Raw genomic sequence first — 23,382 nt, 5'->3', positions numbered from 1 at the left:
AAATGGTTCAACTGTGCAGCAACATATACTTTAAAAAGTTTTATGTCTTCTAGATGAAACAACAGGGAGTTGGTGGGCTACTCTGTGAAGGCTGGTTGGGACCTAACAGGAAAATGATCATTGTATTTGGGGGAAGCATCAGGATCATCAGGCTGGCTGGAGAGGAGGTGCATGTAGGGGGATGTTTGTAGATACATGTTAGGCCTTAACCGTGGAGGGACTGACACCATGCTGAGGCATTTTAACAATGAGAATAGAAAAACTGGCTCATGTTTATGTGCTGCAAAAGGGGCTTTGATAGTTTATCTTGCAGTTTATATTAGATAAAGGACCTCCGGTGAAGAGAAGGAATGTAAAGATGCCTCCCATGGTACTATGTGAGTTTGATAACAGTGGTCATATGGGGATTTTAAATTGAAATTCAATTTTCCCATATCACTATTAAACTAGATGCTATATGGGATAATGAATATGACATTAAAAAAAAGGAAGAGTTATGGAGAGAGATGTTGAATAATTCTCAGGAGGATGTAATTCTCAGGAGGAACAGGGTTGGGGATACTATTTATGTCCTCAGAAATTTATATAACAGTGCAAGATGTACATGTAATAAGAAGAGTAAATTTGAAGTCCTCACGATGAAGTGAAAATGAGTTCAGATGTATTATTCTCAGACTTAGTGGAATGGAAGGATGTACCTTGACCTTTTTCTAGTGAGAGAACTCCAGAGAGTACTTTATGGAAATTCACAAAACTAAGAGTGGAAGCATGATTCGTAAGGTCTTTCCAATAAAATTTAGTACTTTATTGAGTCAAATTTGAACATTGGGATTGTTTATTCATTTTTACCAGGGAAATGATCGTTTAAGCTTCTGTTAGAAGAATATTGACCTGGCTACATAGGTTAAAATGGGGAATCAATTGGAGATAGAGAAATAAGTTAGATGTCTAATTTAACAACAAGTAGAGTATTAAGTCATTGATGCAAAAAAGGCTATGGTAATTATAACTATCAATAAATTTTGTGAATGTATTATTAATTAAAATTCTTAGAATGAGGTGGTGAGAAAAGATGGAGATGCATCTCCTTTGTCTGAGCACCATTCATTTATTTATAATAGCTCAGCCATACTTAAAATGTTATCAGTTCTAGAAACCACACTGAAATATTGACCAAATCAATATGTGATTAAAAAAAAAACTGACCAAGATAACCAGATAACTCAGGACCATCTCATGAGAAATGTTTGATATATTTAGGTTCCAGATTGGTAGACTCAGTAGATATATGGCAATTATCCTAGCATTCAAAAATAGGAACTGCTCTCCTCTGAAAGAAAAAGTGCATGTGTGTGTGTGTGTGTGTGTGTGCGTGTGTGTGTGTGTGGTGTATTGCCAGACTCTAGGATCAAGACTAAAGACTGGAAACTACAGAGTGGGAAGTGCCTTGGCTTCATTTGGGGGAAAAACTTTCAAATGATGTGGGTTCCTTGCCAATGGACTGAATTGCTTTGTAAGGTAGTGGATTTCTCTTGATTGCAGTAATTCAAACATAATTAGACTACAGCTTGGTGGGAACTTTTCAGAGTATTGAAGTTTTGATTGTGTATGCGTTGGAGGAGTTGAAAAAATGTTGTACTAGGTACATTTAAGGCCCAAAGAATCTTGAGAATATGCTTTTAGGAGTGACAGGGGGAGGGAATGAAAAGAATCCCTTCTTCCTTTGTCCTTCCCTCTGCAGTCTATCTCCTTCCTTCCCTTCCTCCTTCTTTATTCTCTCAATTTGTTTCTTCCTCTCTTCTCTCCCTTTTTTCCTTCTTTTTTTCCTCCTAATTTCCCTTTCTTCCTTCTTCCCTCTCTTTCTTTATCCCTTCCTCCCTCCTTTTCTCTCCCCTTCTCACTTCTTTCCTTTTCCTCTTCCTAACTTCTCTTTTTCCTTACTTCCTTGAAAGTCTAATTTGTGCTAGACATTCTATTAAATACTAGAAAGTCAGTGAGGAGCAAAGCAGACATAACACCTGTTCTCATGAAACTTACTATTTTTTTGTAGATAAAATTAATAAACCCTTTTTTGGTAGATAAAATTATCAACTTGGATAAATTCTAGGAGAGAACAATGCATCTGTGCATATCAAGAGAATCATATGCTTTGAGAAAATGGGGAGAATTCATCAGGGAGAGAGGAAGGTGGGGGATATTTCAAAGAATGTATTGGGCATGGAAATGATTTGGTAAAGTCATTTGAAGTGAGAAAAGAGATTACAGATTATGCCAACTTTTTAGGTTGCAACTGAAAAAAGTCATTCACTTGAAAGAAACAGGGAAGATAGGAAGGAATGTTAGCTTTTAAATGAAGATGGTTAGGGTAGCTTTGATTTTGTTATAAAATGCTAACAGATTTGGTTTTCATTAATTGTTTTGGACATGCAAGTTCATAGTCATATGACATGCTTTCTTTTTTTATAGAGGAAATATACCTGCAGTTTGATGAACTTAACTTTATTTTGTTTTATTATTATTTTAAATCTTAATTCTCTACTGGCATTTATTTCTGGGCTAATTATAAAAAATCATAAAGTTTTATCTTTCATGATTACCAAAATCTACTGGAATTTTATGATTATTAAAAAAATAAAATTGAATTAAATAAAGAATTAAGTAGAAATAATGGCTTTGTAGCATTCAAAAGGAGATTCAAATTTAATTACTATTTATATCTATATTATTGTCATTATTGTCTGTGTATTTTTTCCCTGAGGTTTGGATCTAAACTAAAATTTAGATGATGAAAACATTATACACACAGAAAATTATGGGTCAGTTCTCTAAACATTATCAATGACATCAAAATATAAAAACCCTTTCACTATGGAAAATGGAAACATTTACAAAGAGAGAGACTAATATATGTACCCACAAAAATTAAAAATTAAAAAAACTAAGATAATGAACTTCCCACTGTCTTCATTACTCAGCTTCAATGATTCTCAACTTATTGTCAATTTTTTTCTTTCAATTTTTATTTTAGGTTCAGGGGTACATGTACAGGATTGTTACAGGGGTAAATTATGTGTTGCTGGTGTTTGGTGTACAAATGATTTCATCACCCAGGTAGTGAGCATAGTACCTGATGGGTAGTTTTTCAACCCTCACCTTTCTACCGGGTTCTCACTTCATGTAGGCCCTGATGTCTATTGTTCTCATCTTTCTGTCCATTTGTACTCAATGTGCAGCTTCCACTCCACTTATAAAAAAGAACCTGTAGTACTTGGTTTTCTGTTTCTGTGCTAATTCTCTGAGGATAATGGCCTCCAGCTGCATCCATGTTGCTGCCAATGACATGATTTCATTTTTTTTAAATAGCTGTTTAGTATTCACTGGTGTATCTGTATCACTTTTTTTTCTAGCCAGTCCATCATTGATGGGCATCCAGGTTGATTCCATGTCTTTGCTATTGTGAATAGTGTTGTGATGAACATACAAGTGCGTATGTCTTTGGTAGAACGATTTATATTCCTTTGGGAATATACCCAATAATGGGATTGCTGGATTAAATGTAGTTCTGCTTTAAGTTCTCTGAGAAATCTTCAAACTGCTTTCCACAATGGCTGAACTAATTTATATTCTCACTAGCAGTGTATAAACATTCTCCTTTCTCTACAGCCTTGCTAACTCCTGTTATTTATTTTTTACTTTTTAATAATAGCCATTCTGACTGGTGTGAGATGGTATCTTGTTGTGGTTTTGATTTGCATTTCTCTAATGATTAGCAATATTGAGCATTTTTTTATAAGCTTGTTGGCCTTGTATATGTCTTCTTTTGAGAAGTGCCTGTTCGTGTCCTTTGCCCATTTTTTTAAATGAGGTTGTTTGTTTTTTGCCTTTTGATTTAAGTTCCTTACAGATTCTGGATATTAGACCTTTACTGGATGCATAGGTTGCAAATATTTTCTCCCATTCTGTAGATTATCTGTTTACTCTGTTGACAGTTTCTTTCGCTGTGCAGAAGCTCTTTAGTTTAATTAGGTCCTACTTGTTTATTTTTTCTTTTGCTGCCATTGCTTTTGGAAACTTCATCATGAAATCTTTGCCAAAGCCTATGTCCAAAATGGTATTTCCCAGGTTTTCTTTTAGAGTTTTAGGTTTTATATTTAAGAATTTAATTCATTTTGAGCTGGTTTTTATATATGGTGAAAAGAAGGGGTTTAGTTTCAGTCTTCCACATATAGCTAGCCAGTTATACCAGAATCAGTTACTGAATAGGGAGTCCTTTCCCCACTGCTTGTTATTGTCAACTTTGTTGAAGATCAGATGGTCGTAGGTGTGTGGCTTTATTTCTGGGTTATCTAACCTTTTCCAGCAGTACCATGCTGCTTTGGTGTACTCTAGCCTTGTAGCATAGTTTGAAGACAGGTAGTGTGATGCCTCCTGCTTTTTTCTTTTTGCTTAGGATAGCTTTGGCTATTCAGGTTCTCTTCTGGTTCCATATGAATTTTATAATAGTTTTCTCTAATTCTATGAAAAATGATGTTGATATTTTGATAGAAATAGCATTGAATCTGTAAATTGCTTTGGGCAATATGGCTATTTTAACAATATTGATTCTTCCTATTCATGAGCATAGAATGCTTTTTCATTTGTTTTTGTTATCTCTGATTACTTTCAGCAGAGTTTGGTAATTCTCATTGCACAGAGCTTTTGCCTCCCTGGTTAGCTGTATTACAAGGTGTTTTTTTTTTTTTTTTTTTGTAACTGTTGTTATTGAATTCTTGATTTGGCTCTCAGCTTGGACATTATTGGTATACAGATATGCTACTTATTTTTGCACATTTGGTTTGTATTCTGAAAGGTTAATGAAGTTGTTTATCAGGTCCAGGAACTTTTTGAAAGAATATTTAGGGTTTTCTAAATATAGAATCTTATTATTGGTGAAGAAGGATAATTTTGACTTCTTATTTTCCTATTTGGATGCCTTTTATTTCTTTCTGTTATCTGATTTCTCTGGCTAGGACTTCCAGGACTTTACTGAATAGAAGTGGTGAGAGTGGGCATCCTTGTCTTATTCTATTTCTTAAGAGAAATGCTTCCATCTTTTGCCTGTTCAATATAATGTTGGCTGTGGGTTTATCATAGATGGTTCTTACTATTTTGAGATATTTTTTTTGATGCCTAGTTTGTTGAGAGTTTTAACATGAAGGGATGTGGAATTTTATTGAAAGTTTTTTCTGAGTCTATTGAGATGATCATGTGGTTTTTGTTTTTAGTTCTGTTCATGTAATGAATCACATTTATTGATTTACATATGTTGAGCCAACCTTGCATCCCAGGGATAAAGTCTACTGGATCATGGTGGATTAACTTTTTGATACACTGCTAGATTTGGATTGCTAGTATTTTGTTGAGGATTTTTGGGTCTATGTTCATCAGGCATATTGGCCTGAAGTTTTCTTTTTTCATTGTATCTCTGACAGCTTTTGTTATCAGAATGATGCTAGCCTTATAGAATGAGTTATGGAGGTGTCCCTTCTCCTCAACTTTTTGGAATAGTTTCAGTAGGATTGGTACCAGGTCTTCTCTATATGTCTGGTAGAATTCAGCCATGAATCTGTCTCATCTACGGCATTTTCTGGATTTTTTTTATTACTGATCAAGTTTCAGAACTTGTTATTTATCTGTTCAGGATAAATATTTCTTTGTTGGTCAATCTTCAGAAGTGTATGTTTTTAGGAATTTACCCATGTTTTTCTAGATTTTTTAGTTTGTATGCATAAAGGTATTCCTAATAGTGTTTTAGAGTTCTTGTATTTCTTTGGGATCTCTAATGTCCCCTTTGTCATTTCTGATTATGCTTATTTGGATCTTCTTTTTTTTATTTATTAATCTAGTTAGTGGTTTATCAATCTTGTTTATTTTTTGAAAGAACCAAATTTTGATTTTGCTGATCTTTTGTACAGATTTCATATCTCAGTTTCCTTCAGTTCAGCTCTGATTTTGGTTTTCTTTTCTTCTGCTAGCTTTGGGGTTGGTTTACTCATGTTTTCCTCGTTCCTCTAGGTGTGATGTTAGCTTGTTAATTTGAGATCTTCCTAACTTCTTGATGTAGGCATTTAACACTATAAACTTTTCTCTGAAAACTGCTTTAGCCGTGTCCCAGAGATTCTGTGATGTTGAATCTTTGTTTTCATTGGTTTCAAAGAATTTTTAAATTTCTGCCTTAATTTCACTCTTTGCCTGAAAGTCATTTAGGAGCAAGTTTGTTTACTTTCCATGTAATTGTATGGTTTTGAGAGCTCTTCTTGGTATTGATTTCTATTTCTATTGTACTGTGTTCTGCTAGTGTGATTGGTATGATTTTGTTGTTTTTAAGTTTGTTGAGAATTGCTTCATGGCCAAGCATGTGGTCGATCTTAGAGTATGTGCCATATGCAGATGAGAAGAATGTATATTCTGTTGTTGTTGGGTATTCTGTTGATGTCTGTTAGGTCCATTTGGTTAAGTGCTGAGGTTAGGTCTCAAATATCTTTGTTAGTTTTCTGCTTCAATGATCTGTCCAATACTGTCAGTGGAGTGTTGAAGTCTCCCATTATTATTGTGTGGTTATCTAAGCTTCTTCATAGGTCTCTAAGAACTTGTTTTATGAATCTAGGATCTCCAATTTGGGAGTGTATGTATTTAGGAGAGTTAAGTCTTCTTGTTGAATGGAAACTTTTATCATTATGCAATGCTCTTTGTCTTTTTTGATCATTGCTGATTTAAAGTCTGTATTGTCTGAAATAAGAATTGCAACCCCTCTTATTTTTTTGTTTTCTGTTTGCTTGAGTGATCGTTCTCTATTCCTTTACTTTCAGCCTACATATATATATATATATATATATATATATATATATATATATATATATATAAAATTTATGTGAGATGAATTTCTTGAATATAGTGTATAGTTGGGTTTTGCTTCTGTATCCAACTTGCCACTCTGTACCTTTTAAGTTGGACACTTAGCCCATTTATCTTCAAGGTCAATATTGATACGTGAAGATTTGATCTTGTCATGTTCTTAGCTAGTTGTTATATAGACTTGATTGTATAGTTGCTTTATAGTACCAATGTGATATGTACTTAAGTGTGTTTTTGTGGTGGCAGGTCTTACATTTCCATGTTTAGTGCTCCCTTTAGGACCTCTTGTAAACATAACTGATAGTAATGGATTCCCTTAGCATTTGCTTGTTTGAAAATGATTTTATTCCCCCTTCACTTATGAAGCTTAGTTTGGTTGGATATGAAATTCTTGGTTGAAGTTTCTTTTCTTTAAAGTTGCAGAATATAGGCCGCCAATCTCTTTTGACTTGTAAAGTTTCTGCTGAAAGTTTCACTGTTGGCCTGATGGGATTCCTTTTGTACTTAACCTGGCCCTTCTCTGTAGCTGCCTTTAACATTTCTTTCCTTTGCGTTGACTTTGGAGAATCTGATGACTAGATATCTTATCTTTTCTAGTATATTTTAAAGATTCTCTGAATTTCCTGAATGTGCATGCCTACCTGTGTAGTGAGGTTGGGGAAATTTGTGTGGACAATATCCTCAAATATGTTTTCCAAGTTGCTTGTTCTCTATCTCTTTCAGAAATGCCAGTGAGTCATAGGTTTGATCTTCTTACATAATCCCATATTTCCTGGAGGTTTGTTTTTTCATTTTTAAAAATTCTTAATTTTTTTTTGCCTGCATTGATTCAAAGGAGCAGTCTTTGAGTTTTGAGATTCTTTTCTCAGCTTCATCTATTTTGTAATTAATGCTTCCGATTGCATTATAAAAGTCTTATAGCAAATTTTTAATTTCCGGAAGTTCAATTTTTTTTTTTTTTTTCTTAAAATGGCAATGTCATTTTCCAGCTCTTCTATCGTTTTATTAGTTTCCTTGGATTGGGTTTCAACCTTCTCCTGTATCTCACTGGGCTTCTCCGCCATCCAGATTCTGATTCTGTGTCTGTCATTTCAGACATTTCATTTCTGGGGGAGTTATTGAGATAGTTTGTGGAGGTAAGAAGACACTCTGGCTTTTAGAGTTGCCAGAATTCTTGTGCTGGTTCTTTCTCATCTGTGTTCACTGATTTTCCTTTACTTTTTGACATTGCTGTCCTTTGGATGAAGCTATTTGCTTTTATATTCTTTGATGTTCTTGAGGGTTTGAAGGCAGTATAAATTGTGTTTAGTTGATTGACTTCATTTCTGGATGCTTTCAGGAGGCCAAGCCTCAGCTTAGCACTCCTGAGCTTCATGCTAATGCCTTGGGGACTGGGACTGGGCATATGGCTTTGTTCTTTGACCTCTCGAGGTCAAACACTTTCTGCACTGGAAGGACTGGGGTGTTCCCAGACTGCTGGCAAAACACTCTGATGGGGGCTGTTGACAAAAGTGCTCTGGTTGTGGGGGCAGGGTGCCACAGGAGAATGTCTTGAAGTAGGGGGCCACCAGAGAGTGCACACTAGTGGGGCGATGGTGTGAGGTGCAGACAAATGAAAACCAACAGGGCAGCGGGGAGCCACTGGTGTGTATGCAGTGGTGGAGCATTATTGTCAATCTTTCTTTATCTGTACCCATATCCAAGTCCCAACGCCCAAATTATTTTGATGAAAATATCAAAATCATATCATTTCACCTGGAAATATTTGTACATACCTTTAAAAGACAAACAGTCTTTAAATATATATCCATGATCATAGTAATATACTACACATTAAAAATAATTCTTTGATGAGGTAAAAGTGGAACCACATTTTCAAAGTTGCTATTGTTTTAAACCTTTGAAAATTTAATAGCATAGTTGACACATTTGACATTAGATGACATCAAGCTGGAACATTTTCAGTTTTCCCTCTTAGTATAGAGACTTTGATTTGTACCTGAAGTAGCTGAAGCCATTGACACTTGGTCAAAGATTTTCCATCACGATGGTGTGAATATCCAGATAGCCCAATACCAGTAAAGGTCATTTCAAATTAAGCCCCATTCTATTCACGTGAAGAATTAACTGTATTGGGGGGCCGAGGCGGGTGGATCACCCGAGATCAGGAATTTGAGACCAGCCTGGCCAATATGGTGAAACCCCGTCTTTACCAAAAATACAAAAAAATTAGCCAGGCGTGGTGGCGGGCGCCTGTAATCCCAGCTACTCCAGATGCTGAGATAGGAGAATCGCTTGAACCCGGGAGGTGGAGGTTGCAGTGAGCTGAGGTCATGCCATTGCACTCCAGCCTGGGAAACAAGAGTGAAACTCCGTCTCAAAAAAAAAAAAAAAAAAAAGAATTAACTGTGAAAGATTTCATGAGTAAGGCATCACAGGAAAGGGGTCTTGGCTAAGAAGCTGATTTGTTACAAGCAGCTTCAAGCAACAGTTTGTATCCTTACGGGCTGAGTTAGGAGACTCTCAGTTGGAGTCTCATTGTGGTTACAGTCAGGTGCCAGTTTGGCCGGAGTCATCTGGAAGCTTGGTGTGCCTGAGTGTCCAAGATGGACTTTTCTCTTATATGTCCCATATCTCCTCTCGAATGGCTGAAATAGCTGGGGATCAGCTGGTGTCTCTGTCTCACCACCCAGCCTAGGTTAGTTTGGGTTTCCTCACAGCTTGATGGTCTTGGGGTGGATTTCTGACCTGACAGCAGTGTTCCTCAACAGTGAGTGTTCCACGGATGTCAGGGAAAATTAAGTTCTTTTGACCTAGCCTGAGAAGTCACATAGTACCACTTCTACCTTTTTCTTTTTTTTCTTTCTTTTTCTTTTTCTTTTTTTTTTGAGACAGAGTCTCTCTCTGTCGCCCAGGCTGGAGTCCGGTGGCACGATCTCGGCACACTGCAAGCTCTGCCTCCCGGGTTCACGCCATTCTCCTGCCTCAGCCTCGCAAGTAGCTGGGACTACAGGCTCCCGCCACCACGCCCGGCTAATTTTTTTTGTATTTTTAGTAGAGACGGGGTTTCACCGTGTTAGCCAGGATGGTCTCGATCTGCTGACCTCGTGATCCGCCCCCCTCGGCTTCCCAAAGTGCTGGGATTACAGGCATGAGCGACCGCACCTGGCCCACTTCAACCTTTTTCTATTTGCCGAAAGCTAGTTACAGGCAATCCAAGATTCAAAGAGAGGGGCATAAATATTGGGTGGCAAGCTTCAGTGAGGGACTTCTTTGGAGCTACCACAGTATTTTATGTATCAAATTATTTTTACACATCCTTACTATCTCCTCTCTATGCCATAGAAATTTTTATATTTGATTTTTTTTGACAGGTTATTAAGGATCCTCCACCACCACCCGCCCCTGCACCAAAAGAGGTAAGTGAGTGCCTAAAAAACTGATATGGCTGTTTTTTTTTTCCAAATGCAGATACCATGCCCAAATTTAATCAATTTTGTCTGTTAGATAACTATGATACCTATGTACTGACTTTTTAATTTATACAAATCAGTGGTTATTTTTCATCCTCTTATGATTTATTTCATGTGCTAGAGGAATGGGAACTTCATACATTACTAGATATAAACTGGCCATTGGAATCAATAGTACATAAAGATTTAATATACTTTTATAGTACTATATCAACAGTTCTGATATCACTTATGTTATTGACAAAAAACATCCAAGCTGACAGTTGAAAGATCCTATTACTTTCTTCAAAATTCTTGGTGCTTTTATATGATTCTGTTAACCAGAATCATGTTAGGAACATGAAATAAGGAATGTGCTGGTGTTGTATATTTTCAAAGCTTCTCAACTGCCTATCTTTTCAGTTCAAATTTCATAGAGTCCAAACCTACACACACATTGATGCTTTAATGACTGTTAAAATGCTGTCCTAATTTAATATTTTATCTTTCTAAGTATGAAGTGATGAATAGATTTGAAATACCAAATGATTCCCATAGTTAAAGAACAACTTCTAGTTACCTAGGGATGATGTAAGAGAGATTCCTGAAATTTGAGGAGGGAAAGGAGTTCTCATATCCTGTAGAACTCCACTTGAAATTTATGCATGTAAGTGTAAATATATCCACATGTTCTATACATAGTTTTTTCCATAGTAATGACATAATTCAGAAAAATATTTAAATATGAGCCAGTTCCGACTAAACAGTATTTTAAGAAATTAATTAAAAACTATTTATAAAACATATTTCCACAGGAGGAAGAAGAACCTTTGCCTACTAAAAAGTGGCCAACTGTGGATGCTTCCTATTATGGTGGTCGAGGGGTTGGAGGAATTAAAAGAATGGAGGTTGGTATCTTAAAAAAAAATAGAAGCTGCTAATCTGGAGTATGTATTTCTAGGGCTATTAAGCCATAGAAACTACTTTTCACAATTCAATATTATAATATCATCCATTTGTGCTTAACACTGGGTCTTTTCTGGATACATTTTTTTTTCTATGGAATCATCCTAGCCGCTGCAAAACTGGCCTAGAAGAACTGGTTTCATTAGTCAAAGGATTGCATTGATAAGACCTCTGAATTCTAAGGGACAAAACAAAGCTAGGGTTTTTCTTATTTTGGAAAAAATTACCGCATAGAACGTCAACTTTGAAGAAGCCAGCCACTTCAAGTTGCAACAATGTTCTTCTTTGTAAAGATCCAATAGTTATCTACTATTTGAGAAGAAAATGTTAAAATATTCAATAGCGTGGATCTGACTTTATCACAAATATAGAGGAAGCACATTTAATACTTTATGTTAGTTGCCACTTATGAACTATTGTAATTGATATTATATATCATTTATAGAATGCATTGAACTTTCAGACTAGCCCAAAGTGTTGATTAAAATTGAACTTTAATATTATATCTTAAAAGTCAAATAAGATTTTATTATCACCATGAACTATTTTTTCAAAGTGATATATTATTTAGTAATAAGCAATTATTACCAGCACTGAGCTCTTAACAACAGTATAAACAGGCCTGCATCCCATCCCAAGGAGCAATTCAAGGGATTTTTTCATGAACACATTGACTTTATTATTAAATTCTGGCATTCCTTCCTTTTTAGTCATAATTTTCCTTCTGATTAGAATGTGTTTTATGCATTTTACCATTGTTGCACGTTTCCTATTGTCATATCTGCTTTGTGCCAGCAAAAATTGATAACCTAATGAACAACCCCACAATTATTGCAATTTTCTCCTTTTATACATTACAATAAAATTCAGATTCCCAAGGAGAGTTTCCCCTTTTCAGAATAAATTTTACTCTTCTTCAGAAAAAGCCCAGACATACTGAACATGGTTGTCATTAGCAAAGTGTTTATATAGGTCATCTGACAGTGATTCTTACTTTTCTGGACCACATTAGATCTTGAAGCAATGGACATTTTCCCTGAGAGCTTGCCCTTTATTGTTGAAATATCCTCTGAGGCAGATACCTCATTGCCAATTATCCATGATTATAAACAGTTGCTAGATGCAGTTAAGCTGTTCTTTGGAGAAGTTATTGCATGTATTTTTGTGTGCTAGAAACTGAGAATAGCAAACAATATAAGAGAGCATGGCTAGGCAAGTTCTTGTTGTTTGACACAGAAGGAAGGTTATTTTCCTTTCTTACCTTTGTTGTGTCATTCTAGACTTGGAAAGGTGGGAAGAAAGTATATAGGATGTTCCTATATGTATAAAACATACACTTCGAAATAAAAGTGTTACAATCAAATATCCAAATACGATCTGTAACAACTTATTTTTATTTGATTTCATCTCATTCCAAAATGTGTGTGTAAAAAGATCTATATAACGGGGAAAAAAGGCTTGATAGAATATACCAAAAATGTGAGTAGGTTTCTCTGGATGGACAATTTTCAATCTATGCTATATATTTCCCTATTGTTTAAATGTATTTGACAGTGAGCATGTACTACTTCATATTCAGAATAATAAACTTAATGCCATTTTGAAATTCACTCATGTAAAATATGGCATGATAATAAAGTAAGGATATTAGTATGTGAGCCTTAATTGAATAAATAATATTCTTGCTTTAAAAAACTAGGAATATGTCAGATTTTTGTTAGTTCAATATTCCAGTGTTCCAAAGATTGAGATCTCTTTTTAAAGGAAAGGAAATGTGTGAGTGAGCCCCTGAATGGGTCCTGAGTTAAAAGGAACATTATTGGTTTATATTTATGAGAGCCAAGAGCATACACACATCCCTAACTAACCTATAATTCAAGTTTCAAGAGTTTTTAACTCTCAATATGTGAAATTATGTTGCCCACACATCCTTTTCAGTTGAACAAAATTTGTGACGAAAAACCGCAGCCAACTTGTAATAAATCTGGGTCCATTTTAGTTTTGGATAATTTTGGCTACCTTGCATGGAGTATTCCATCAACAAGATGGAAATGAGAATGAGAATGAAGAAAAAAATGGAAAAGCAAGTGTGGATGTTACAAAGGGGAAACACGATACACGTTGAGTATCCCTTATCTGAAATGATTGGAACTAAAAGTGTTTTAGATTTTGGATTTTTTTCAGATTTCAGGACATTTGCACATACTTAATATGATATCTTGGGGAGGGGAGCCAAGTTTAAACATCAAATTTATTTTTGTTTGATATATACCCTATACACATAAGAGGAATATGTTTGACACACACCTTATACACACATAAGAAGAATATGTATATAAGGTGTGCGTCAAACATAAATGAATTTAAAATATACCATAAATACACAAACGTAATATACAAGCATAAATGAATTTTAAAATATACAATGTTTTAAAATAATTTTGTGCATGAAACAAAGTGTCAACTGTGACCCATCAGATGAGGTCAGGTTTGGAGTTTTCCTCTTATGCTGTTAAGTTGGCACTTCATGGGTTTCAGGTTTTAGAGCATTTTGAATTTTAGATTTTTGAACTATACTCAACCTGTATATAAAAATACACAGTAAAAATTGAACTGAGAATTAAGCATCATTAAACATTTTCAAACATTAATTTATTTAAATGTGGAGATGGAAATGTTTCATTTATCTATTTATTTTTTAAGAAATCTGGAGTGGATGATGGGGAGTTCTCATTATGTTGCCCTGGCTGGTCTTGAACCCCTGAGCTCAAGCGATTCTCTCGATTCTCTCATGTAGCTGGGGCTACAGGCAGGTGCCACTGTGCAAACAAAATTTGTTTTAAAAGCATGCTTATTCAAACCTGGAAGGTACTTCTCTTTTTTTTTTTTTTTTTTTTTAAAGCCCTTAAACTAGGAAAAGTAAAAGGAATTATAGAAATTATGAGCACATGTGAATTACAGAACACATTTTTATAGCTAAGGTTATTTTAAGCCAGCATAGGGATTTTTACCTAGAATTTTTTTCTTCCTTCTTCTTTAAATTAAATATTTAAACACTATGGTAATGGGAATTTTTAGAAAGCTGGAACGGAGATGATGTTAATAACAGCTGTTAGCACAACTGATCCACAATACCTAATGACTTCAAATGTGTGTTTCTGCCAATTCAGTGTGAAACTGTTTTTGTTTCTTTTCTCGATTCTGAAATTGCTCCTCAATGATATAACCTTCTAGTCATCCAAATATGCTCTGGAAATTATGGAATTTTATTGCTTATAATGAAAGCCAAGTGGAGTTGGAAGAATTTAGCTATCAAGCTTACACTTATTTTTTTCCATAATAAAGCCTGATATATTAATTCTGCTAAGGCTTCCTTTAGCAGTCTATTGTTGTTATTCTTTTGTCCTTTTTAACTGTCTCAATGTGGTCAAACTAAAACATTAAAATTTATGCATACATACACATACACATATATATGTATATTTAATTGTTTTTAAGAGTTTGAAAACTGTAATAATTTCTAGTTTCAGACTTTGAGTAAGTGAGAATTGTTTGTGGTGGTGTTTGTGGTGGTGATGATGTTGATGATGATTAAATAGCTCCCTCATGAACTAAAACTAATGAATTTCTTTAATGGATCTTCTTTAGATCTCAGCAACTATATTTCTCAAGTATAGTCATTTGATAGTGTAGTACCTAGAAATGCCACATTGGGTCAGAACTCTAGTTTAACTAGCTTCATATATATATTTTTTTAATCTGAGAATAGTGCCAGTGAAACTTGAAAGAAGAATATGATTATCATTACCTCTGCAATATCAACTGTGAAACATAGGCGAGAGAGCTGTCTATTCTAAAGCCTATCATTTCTGAATGGATCTAAATTGTATCTACTTCTCTTTCTACCCTGAATGACTTCTCTAAGTTAAGACATTTGTGTCTTTACTTAATTGTGTATCTTTTTTTTCCTTAAAATTGAGCCTTTACAACTGCAAGGATATGTGTCCTGATTTTAGAGTTTTTAATACAATTTAGCTATATCTAAAGATTTTATAAGTGTTAGTTTATCCAGGTGATGACACTGTGATTGGAAAGAGAAGGTCATTTCTCTGGAAAGAAAGCCAACTATCTAGCTCTAAAGGTTTAGTGGTGTTTAAAACAATTTTAACAACCTCATAAAAACATTCTAGTATCATTGATCACACTGAAAGATATAGATACATTTTAATGACTCAACAGGGCCCACTTGAAATTGAAAGCCCATTCTAAAATTGTAGTAAAAAAAGGTAAAAACATCTAAGTAAGCCTTATCAAAAAGACTGAATAGTTCTTTCCATGAATAGTAATCTTCTCTATCCCTACCCACTAATTCAGATCATTAAAATGCTTTAGGAAGTCTTAGGATTTTTTTTTTTCTTTTTAGAAATCACTTAACTCTGATGTGTCATAGTGTGCCCTCGGTAGCTCTTATTATAGGTTTTTAGAGCTTCACTCCTCTGACCTCGCCCATTTTTGGTGATGTCCTTGGTTTTTGTAGGGCTTTCCACTACTCCTGGTTGGACAAGCTCTTCTCCAGGGGCTGCATCCTATTTTTACATGCCCAGTTTGACTCAAATTTAGCTCTTAATTTCTGTCTATTGAAAAATACAACAATCATTTGCTCTTAATTTCTGTCTATTGAAAAATAAAACAATCATTTGATCTTATGGTTTTTCAATGTCAAGAATTTTCAGAGGAGGAAATTTGCTATAATTTGTGGAATTCTCTAGGGTTCCTGAACTTTTCTTTTCAAAGCAGTCTTTTCAGATTTGACCTCCTCAATGAAAAAAATCATATGCCACACAACCATACTCAGATGAGCTTGGGAACTAAAGGCTGAACACTATATTACTTAGAACTATAAAAGTAAAGAAAACTCATATATAATTATTTTACTTTCAAAAACTAAATGTTCAGATCATACTTTTTGCCTTAATCAGATGTGATGAAAAGTTTGGAAGAAGCAACTCTTTTGTATAAAATACATTTGTAAAATTCTAACCAATTGGAAACTTATTAACCCATTTCAATCCATGTTCGAATCCCTGCCCTGTCACTTACTAGCTGGCTTTGGGCATATCACTTAACCTCCCTGTGCCTCATCTGGAAAGAAGAAAATAGAGTCTCTATCTCACTGCATTTTTGTATGGATTAAATGCAGACTGACACATAGTAATCACTCAGTAAATGCTAACTATCGTCATTTTCATATATTTCTTCCAGTGTCATCACTACATATGGGTATGTGTTTAGCTAGCAGGGGAACAAACCAAATTAGAGAACAAAATTACACACTGTCATGCATTTCATATGTAAACCACAAATGGACTCTTTATTTAAAACTATGGAAAAATGGTTGCTTCAAATTTAGTTGGCTCCAGATTTTTTTACAAAGGGTTTTTTTTTTTTTTGGATCTTAATATTAAATACAGTCAGGAGTGGTGAGAAACCTATTTAGCCTCTGAAGAGGAGAAATTAGGAATTAGGATACCTGCTCATCTTCTTTTTCACTCTGAGATGTGAACTAAAGGACCATAGGCTCAATAAGAGCCTGTTCCTCTAGGACACTTTATGTCTGATAACAGTACTCTCCCTTTGTTTTACAGGTTCGTTGGGGTGATAAAGGATCTACTGAGGAAGGTGCAAGGCTAGAGAAAGCCAAAAATGCTGTGGTGAAGATTCCTGAAGAAACAGAGGAACCCATCAGGCCTAGACCACCTCGACCCAAACCCACACACCAGCCTCCTCAGACAAAATGGTACACCCCAATTAAGGTATGTGTCCAGATTTTGTGTAATTTAACTCAAAACTTCTGGAGACATTGTAACTTTTTTTGTACCACATCCCCCCAGCTACTTGAAAGAGGGTAGATGAAATTGCAGATATTCATTGTACACTCTTAACAGCTGAATACTTTCTTGGCAATAAGAACCTCTAGGTTTTTATTACTTATTAGTTTACCTTATGAAAGAAATGAGGGTAAAGAAGATTTTACTTTCTTCGTTTTATGTCTTCATTTATTCAGTACATAGAGATTGAGTACATTCTCTGGGAATTCACAAATCTCATTTTCCCTTAGGGTCGTCTTGATGCTCTCTGGGCTTTGTTGAGGCGGCAGTATGACCGGGTTTCTTTGATGCGACCTCAGGAAGGAGATGAGGTTTGTATATGGGAATGTATTGAGAAAGAGCTAACTGCTTGAGTCAGTATAATGGAGGCAGGGAAATAGTAATAAAAAATGATTTTAAAGCCCTATTGCACTTGAGGAAGGAAATACTGTCAAGTGTAGATTTCTATTACATAGAATTGTCTATAAATTACCTATTGTTAGAATGCATCTTCAAACTACATTTTTACACCATTCCCTTTTCAAGAAATTCTTTACAATTCTGGTCATTTGTACACATACTTTAATAAGCACAATCATTGCATCAGCCCTTGACTTTGAAGACAAAATGTTCCAACAGACTGGGAGTTAGTAGCTGAAGTCCTTCTCTAGCATTTAGTAGCATTTAGTAGCAATAAGGCCTAGGGCAAAGGCCTCAGAATCTGTTTTATAGATATAAATATGTTCCCTGCCTTCAACAGTTGATGTAATCGAATTTCTTGACTATTACGTAAAAGTGTCTTTAAAGTTATAAAGCATTATAAAAATCTGTGATAGTGATAAACACACACACATACACACATATGGATATGTATATATTTTTTCCCCACCAGGGAAGCCTGTCTGAGGCTATATTTTTGTTTTGGAAATATGGCTACAATTACTCTAGTTTTGTAATTTCAGTAATATAGTAGTACTATTTCCCATTGTATTGATGTAAGAAAAATTGATTAAAACCTTTTCATATGTAACAATGGATAGGTTTGGTTCAGAGACAGTACAGTTCATAATAGTAGTGATGCAGGGCAGGTGAGCCCTAAAATTGAAGGTTAGCCTGGGAGAGTTCTTAACTTCATCTAAGAAGGAATCTGATGCAGGGCAGGAAGGCTCCCAAATTGGAGCTTAGCCCAGGAAGGTTCCTGGCTTCATCCAGAAAAGAATTCAAGGGTAAGCCAGAGGTGTTAGCAACTTTTGTTGAAGCGACAGTGCATAGCAGCAGCAGAGGTACTACTCCCTGTGGAGCAGGGCTACCCTATAGGCATCGTGCTCAGAGGAGCAGCTCAGAGGCAGTTCTGTAGTCATATTGATACCCACTTTTAATTATATGAAAATTAAGGGGTGGATCATGCAGACATTTCTAGAAAAGGTGTGACAACTTCCGGGTCATCGGGTCATTGTCATGGAAAGTGGTGGTAACTTCTGGGTGTTGCCATGGCAATGGCAAACTGACATGGCACCCTGGTCAGTGTGTCTTATGGGAAAGTGTTTTTGCCCCATCCCTGTTTTAGTTAATCATCAATTAGGTCTGGTGTCCAAGCCTCACCTCCAGAATCCAGTACTGCCTCCTACCTCATTAGAATTGTTTTCACTGTGTGTCAACATGATCATTCCTCTGTTTTAACAAGGGAATAAACTTAATGAACTTCAACTTCAGGGGATTTTTTTTTTAAATGCGATTTGAGGGCCGGGCGCGGTGGCTCACGCCTGTAATCCCAGCACTTTGGGAAGCCGAGGCGGGCGGATCACGAGGTCAGGAGATCGAGACCATCCTGGCTAACATGGAGAAACCCCGTCTCTACTAAAAATAAAAAAAATTAGCAGGGCGTGGTGGCGGGCGCCTGTAGTCCCAGCTACTCGCGAGGCTGAGGCAGGAGAATGGCGTGAACCTGGGAGGCGGAGCTTGCAGTGAGCCGAGATCTTGCCACTGCACTCCAGCCTGGGCGACAGAGAGAGACTACGTCTCAAAAAAAAAAAAAAAAGTGTAATTTGAGAAAATTTATTCCTGGAATTTTCCCCAACAGATCATCATTTACTGTTTGCTAAGACCATAAGTAGAGAGAACTAGTTGGTTTATAAAGCAGTCTCTGTCATGATCCAATCACTGTGGTTCTTCATAATGACATTTGTATCTTTTTAAATTCATCTGTGATCTGGAGTTCTGTTCTGGAACAACATGTACTAACTCTTCTTCCTCTTCTACATGCTAGACTTTAACTTCATGTATTTTAAAATTGTTTTCATGCATCATCTTAGTTTTTATTCCCCAGGTTAGACACTAGTTTATTTGTTCAATAATTTTCACCTTATTAAGTGCTGGGTATTGAGCTAACATTGAATATATACTAGCCAATAAAAACAGACAGTGGTCTCAGTTCTCTTGCTAATGCTTTATATTTTCTTTTAACTGTCATGATTGTAATTTAGTTTATAGTCTTTCATTATTCCTATTAATTTTGATTCAATTCAATAATTTTTGGATTATGAATATGTAAAAGCAATGGCATCAAGTAATATCAAAGGGTAGAAACAAACAGCAGCCTCCGCCCTTAAGAAACCTGAACTTTGGGAAACAAGACATGTACAAAAATAAGATCTATTCTGGAATGTGTTCTGGGTACTCTTGAGTGCATAGGAAAGTAAAGATTAGCTCTCCCTCAGGAGAGATTAGGGAAAGCTTCTTCAAAAATATAGGTGCCCTGTCTTTGAATATAGGTAGGAGATATGTAGAATGAACATTTCCATAGATGTGGCATCATGAGCAAAGTCACTGAGGCAGTGATTCGTGGTTTGCTAGATAATCTGGGGTTCAGAAGTGAAAACCAGAAAGATTCACTGGGAATAGAAAAGAAGAAATATGTGAGTTTAGATAATTGGTATGTTTAGTTTTTAAAATGATGCATTATAATCATTCATTCAACAAATATTTACCTAGTGCCTAACATATATCAGGTAATCTGTTAGATATCAAATAAATTTAACATTCTTCTTAAATTATAATGCTATAATATTTCACATGTTGCCCCAGCAGGTTAAATTATTTATTTTTTCATGTTTGAAGAATAATGCTTCCCTTTCCATTATTTTGACCAAGATTTTCTTCCTTTTTCTTTTTTTTTTTAATCAATATGCTCACACTTTTGTCTAAGATAAGTCCAAAGCCTTTATTCTAACTCTTGAGGTCAGATTATTTCAAAATTCAGGATTTTTCTGATTTTAGGAATATGATATAATCTATTTATCAAATATTATGTAAAGCATCATCTCCTAATCATATTATTCAGACATTTTTCTATTATATATTAATATATATGAATTGTAAAACTTGTTGCTTCCAAATGAATTTTGGTGACAAATGTAGGGTAAAACTTTCAGTTTTCAAAGATTTTGAACCTCAGAGATATAGATAAAATATAATTGACTTTTATTATGTGAGGTTAACTAAAACCCCACTTTTTCCACTCTGTGCTATTTATGCCTTTTTTAAAATTTGTTTTTACTTAAGTGCGGGACTTCAGGCTTAGTAAACATCAGTTGTCGATTCAATTAATTGATTTGTTTTTTTCATCAGATACATATTATGATTCTATGTGTGCCTGATGCAGTCTGAGTTAATCTTTTATCGTCATACCTATTCTTTTTAGCTTTAGTACTTCTGATGTTTTCTTACCTGCAAATTTTTATTTCAAGCCACTGTTGAAACCTCAGTGTGGCATCCCATGAGAGCCTTTTCTCACAGATGGACACTTCACAGTTAAGTGTCATTAGTATGTTAAAGCTAGGAACCTACCCAAAAGTACAAACTCAGTTTACTACATGATTCCCAAGGATTTTTAATAAATTGTGTTAAATTCCTTGCTGAATTTAAGGTATAATGTATATCTATCTATTCACCCATCCAACCAAACCAACCACAGATTCTTCACTCAAGAAAATCAGGTAAGCTTGGCATGATTTGCCGTTTTGCCTTTATGTTTCTTGCTAGTGCTTTTTTATAATATTTATTATTTTGTTTTAGACTGAGGTTTTATGTGAAATCTGTAGTTATCAGCATATGACCTTTACCTTTTAGACAACTTGAGAAATCTTCACCCCCATCCCCCACATTTTTATTTCCCAGCTTTCCATTTTCATTGTTTCACAAAGATTATTAAGAATACCTGAATGTGGCCAGGTGTGGTGGCTCACACCTGTAATCCCAGCACTTTGGGAGGCCAAGACAGGTGGGTCACTTGAGGCCAGGAGTTGGAGACTAGCCTGGCCAACATGGTGAAACCCTGTCTCTACCAAAAAATAGAAAAATTAGCCAGGCGTGGTGGGGCACACCTGTAGTCCCAGCTACTCAGGAGGCTGAGTTGAAAGAACCACTTGAACCCAGGAGGTGAAGGTTGCAGTAGTGAGCTGAGATCGCAGTAGTGAGCTGAGATCGCACCACTGCCCTCCAGCCTGGACAACAGAGGGAAAAAAAAAAAATCCAAATTTATGTCAACTCCACATCATCAACCAGGTCTTCTTTATTTCATAAAATTAACTCCCATATAAATTCCCTATCCCACACACATATAAACCTGAACCTACATTTTTCCAGAGATTTAATCATAAAAATACACAGCAAGAATTCTTCCACTACTTTAGTGAAATAGCTTTCTGTACATTATTAGGATAATTGAAGGGCCCCAACATTTTTTATAAGTTTACAGTATGTATTAGGAAACCATACTATTTTGGTTTCACCATCTCTAGAGTGCTATCTTACTTCCCTTCCTCCCCACCTTCCTCTTTCCCTCCCTCTTTTCCTTCCTTCCTTCTTCTTTTATCTTTGTTTCTTCTTAAATGCATTTATTTCCACTATGCTTTCACTTTGTTTTGACAATTTCTTATACTAGTTTATACATTTTTATATGTTAATTTTCAGTTGGCTTCTTGTGAACAAATGAAGCCTTCGGACGCCCTATTCTTTTTTTTTTTTTTTTTTTATTATACTCTAAGTTTTAGGGTACATGTGCACATTGTGCAGGTTAGTTACATATGTATACATGTGCCATGCTGGTGCACTGCACCCACTAATGTGTCATCTAGCATTAGGTATATCTCCCAATGCTATCCCTCCCCCCTCCCCCGACCCCACCACAGTCCCCAGAGTGTGATATTCCCCTTCCTGTGTCCATGTGATCTCATTGTTCAATTCCCACCTATGAGTGAGAATATGCGGTGTTTGGTTTTTTGTTCTTGCGATAGTTTACTGAGAATGATGGTTTCCAATTTCATCCATGTCCCTACAAAGGATATGAACTCATCATTTTTTATGGCTGCATAGTATTCCATGGTGTATATGTGCCACATTTTCTTAATCCAGTCTATCATTGTTGGACATTTGGGTTGGTTCCAAGTCTTTGCTATTGTGAATAGTGCCGCAATAAACATACGTGTGCATGTGTCTTTATAGCAGCATGATTTATACTCATTTGGGTATATACCCAGTAATGGAATGGCTGGGTCAAATGGTATTTCTAGTTCTAGATCCCTGAGGAATCGCCACACTGACTTCCACAATGGTTGAACTAGTTTACAGTCCCACCAACAGTGTAAAAGTGTTCCTATTTCTCCGCATCCTCTCCAGCACCTGTTGTTTCCTGACTTTTTAATGATTGCCATTCTAACTGGTGTGAGATGATATCTCATAGTGGTTTTGATTTGCATTTCTCTGATGGCCAGTGATGATGAGCATTTCTTCATGTGTTTTTTGACTGCATAAATGTCTTCTTTTGAGAAGTGTCTGTTCATGTCCTTCGCCCACTTTTTGATGGGGTTGTTTGTTTTTTTCTTGTAAATTTGTTTGAGTTCATTGTAGATTCTGGATATTAGCCCTTTGTCAGATGAGTAGGTTGCGAAAATTTTCTCCCATGTTGTAGGTTGCCTGTTCACTCTGATGGTAGTTTCTTTTGCTGTGCAGAAGCTCTTTAGTTTAATTAGATCCCATTTGTCAATTTTGTCTTTTGTTGCCATTGCTTTTGGTGTTTTGGACATGAAGTCCTTGCCCACGCCTATGTCCTGAATGGTAATGCCTAGGTTTTCTTCTAGGGTTTTTATGGTTTTAGGTTTAACGTTTAAATCTTTAATCCATCTTGAATTAATTTTTGTATAAAG

The 23,382-nt window shown here is 35.6% G+C and overlaps 1 protein-coding gene across 4 annotated transcripts in view; it reads left to right on the top strand.

Moving 5' to 3' along the window:
• Positions 1-23,382, top strand: part of ANTXR2 (ANTXR cell adhesion molecule 2) — a 172,327-nt gene that overhangs the window by 78,341 nt on the left and 70,604 nt on the right. For 3 of the 4 annotated variants that reach the window (NM_001286780.2, NM_001286781.2, NM_058172.6), the window contains exons 13-16: positions 10,269-10,313; positions 11,162-11,254; positions 16,958-17,125; positions 17,431-17,511. In NM_001286780.2, coding sequence (NP_001273709.1) covers positions 10,269-10,313; positions 11,162-11,254; positions 16,958-17,125; positions 17,431-17,511 — 387 coding nt within the window. Of the gene's footprint in view, positions 1-10,268; positions 10,314-11,161; positions 11,255-16,957; positions 17,126-17,430; positions 17,607-23,382 lie in introns of those variants that run through there. The other variant, NM_001145794.2, reaches the window with a different exon arrangement.

The sequence above is a fragment of the Homo sapiens genome, chromosome 4 (assembly GCF_000001405.40).
Source record: "Homo sapiens chromosome 4, GRCh38.p14 Primary Assembly".
NCBI lineage: Eukaryota > Metazoa > Chordata > Mammalia > Primates > Hominidae > Homo > Homo sapiens.
This window is presented reverse-complemented; position numbering and strand designations above follow the sequence as displayed.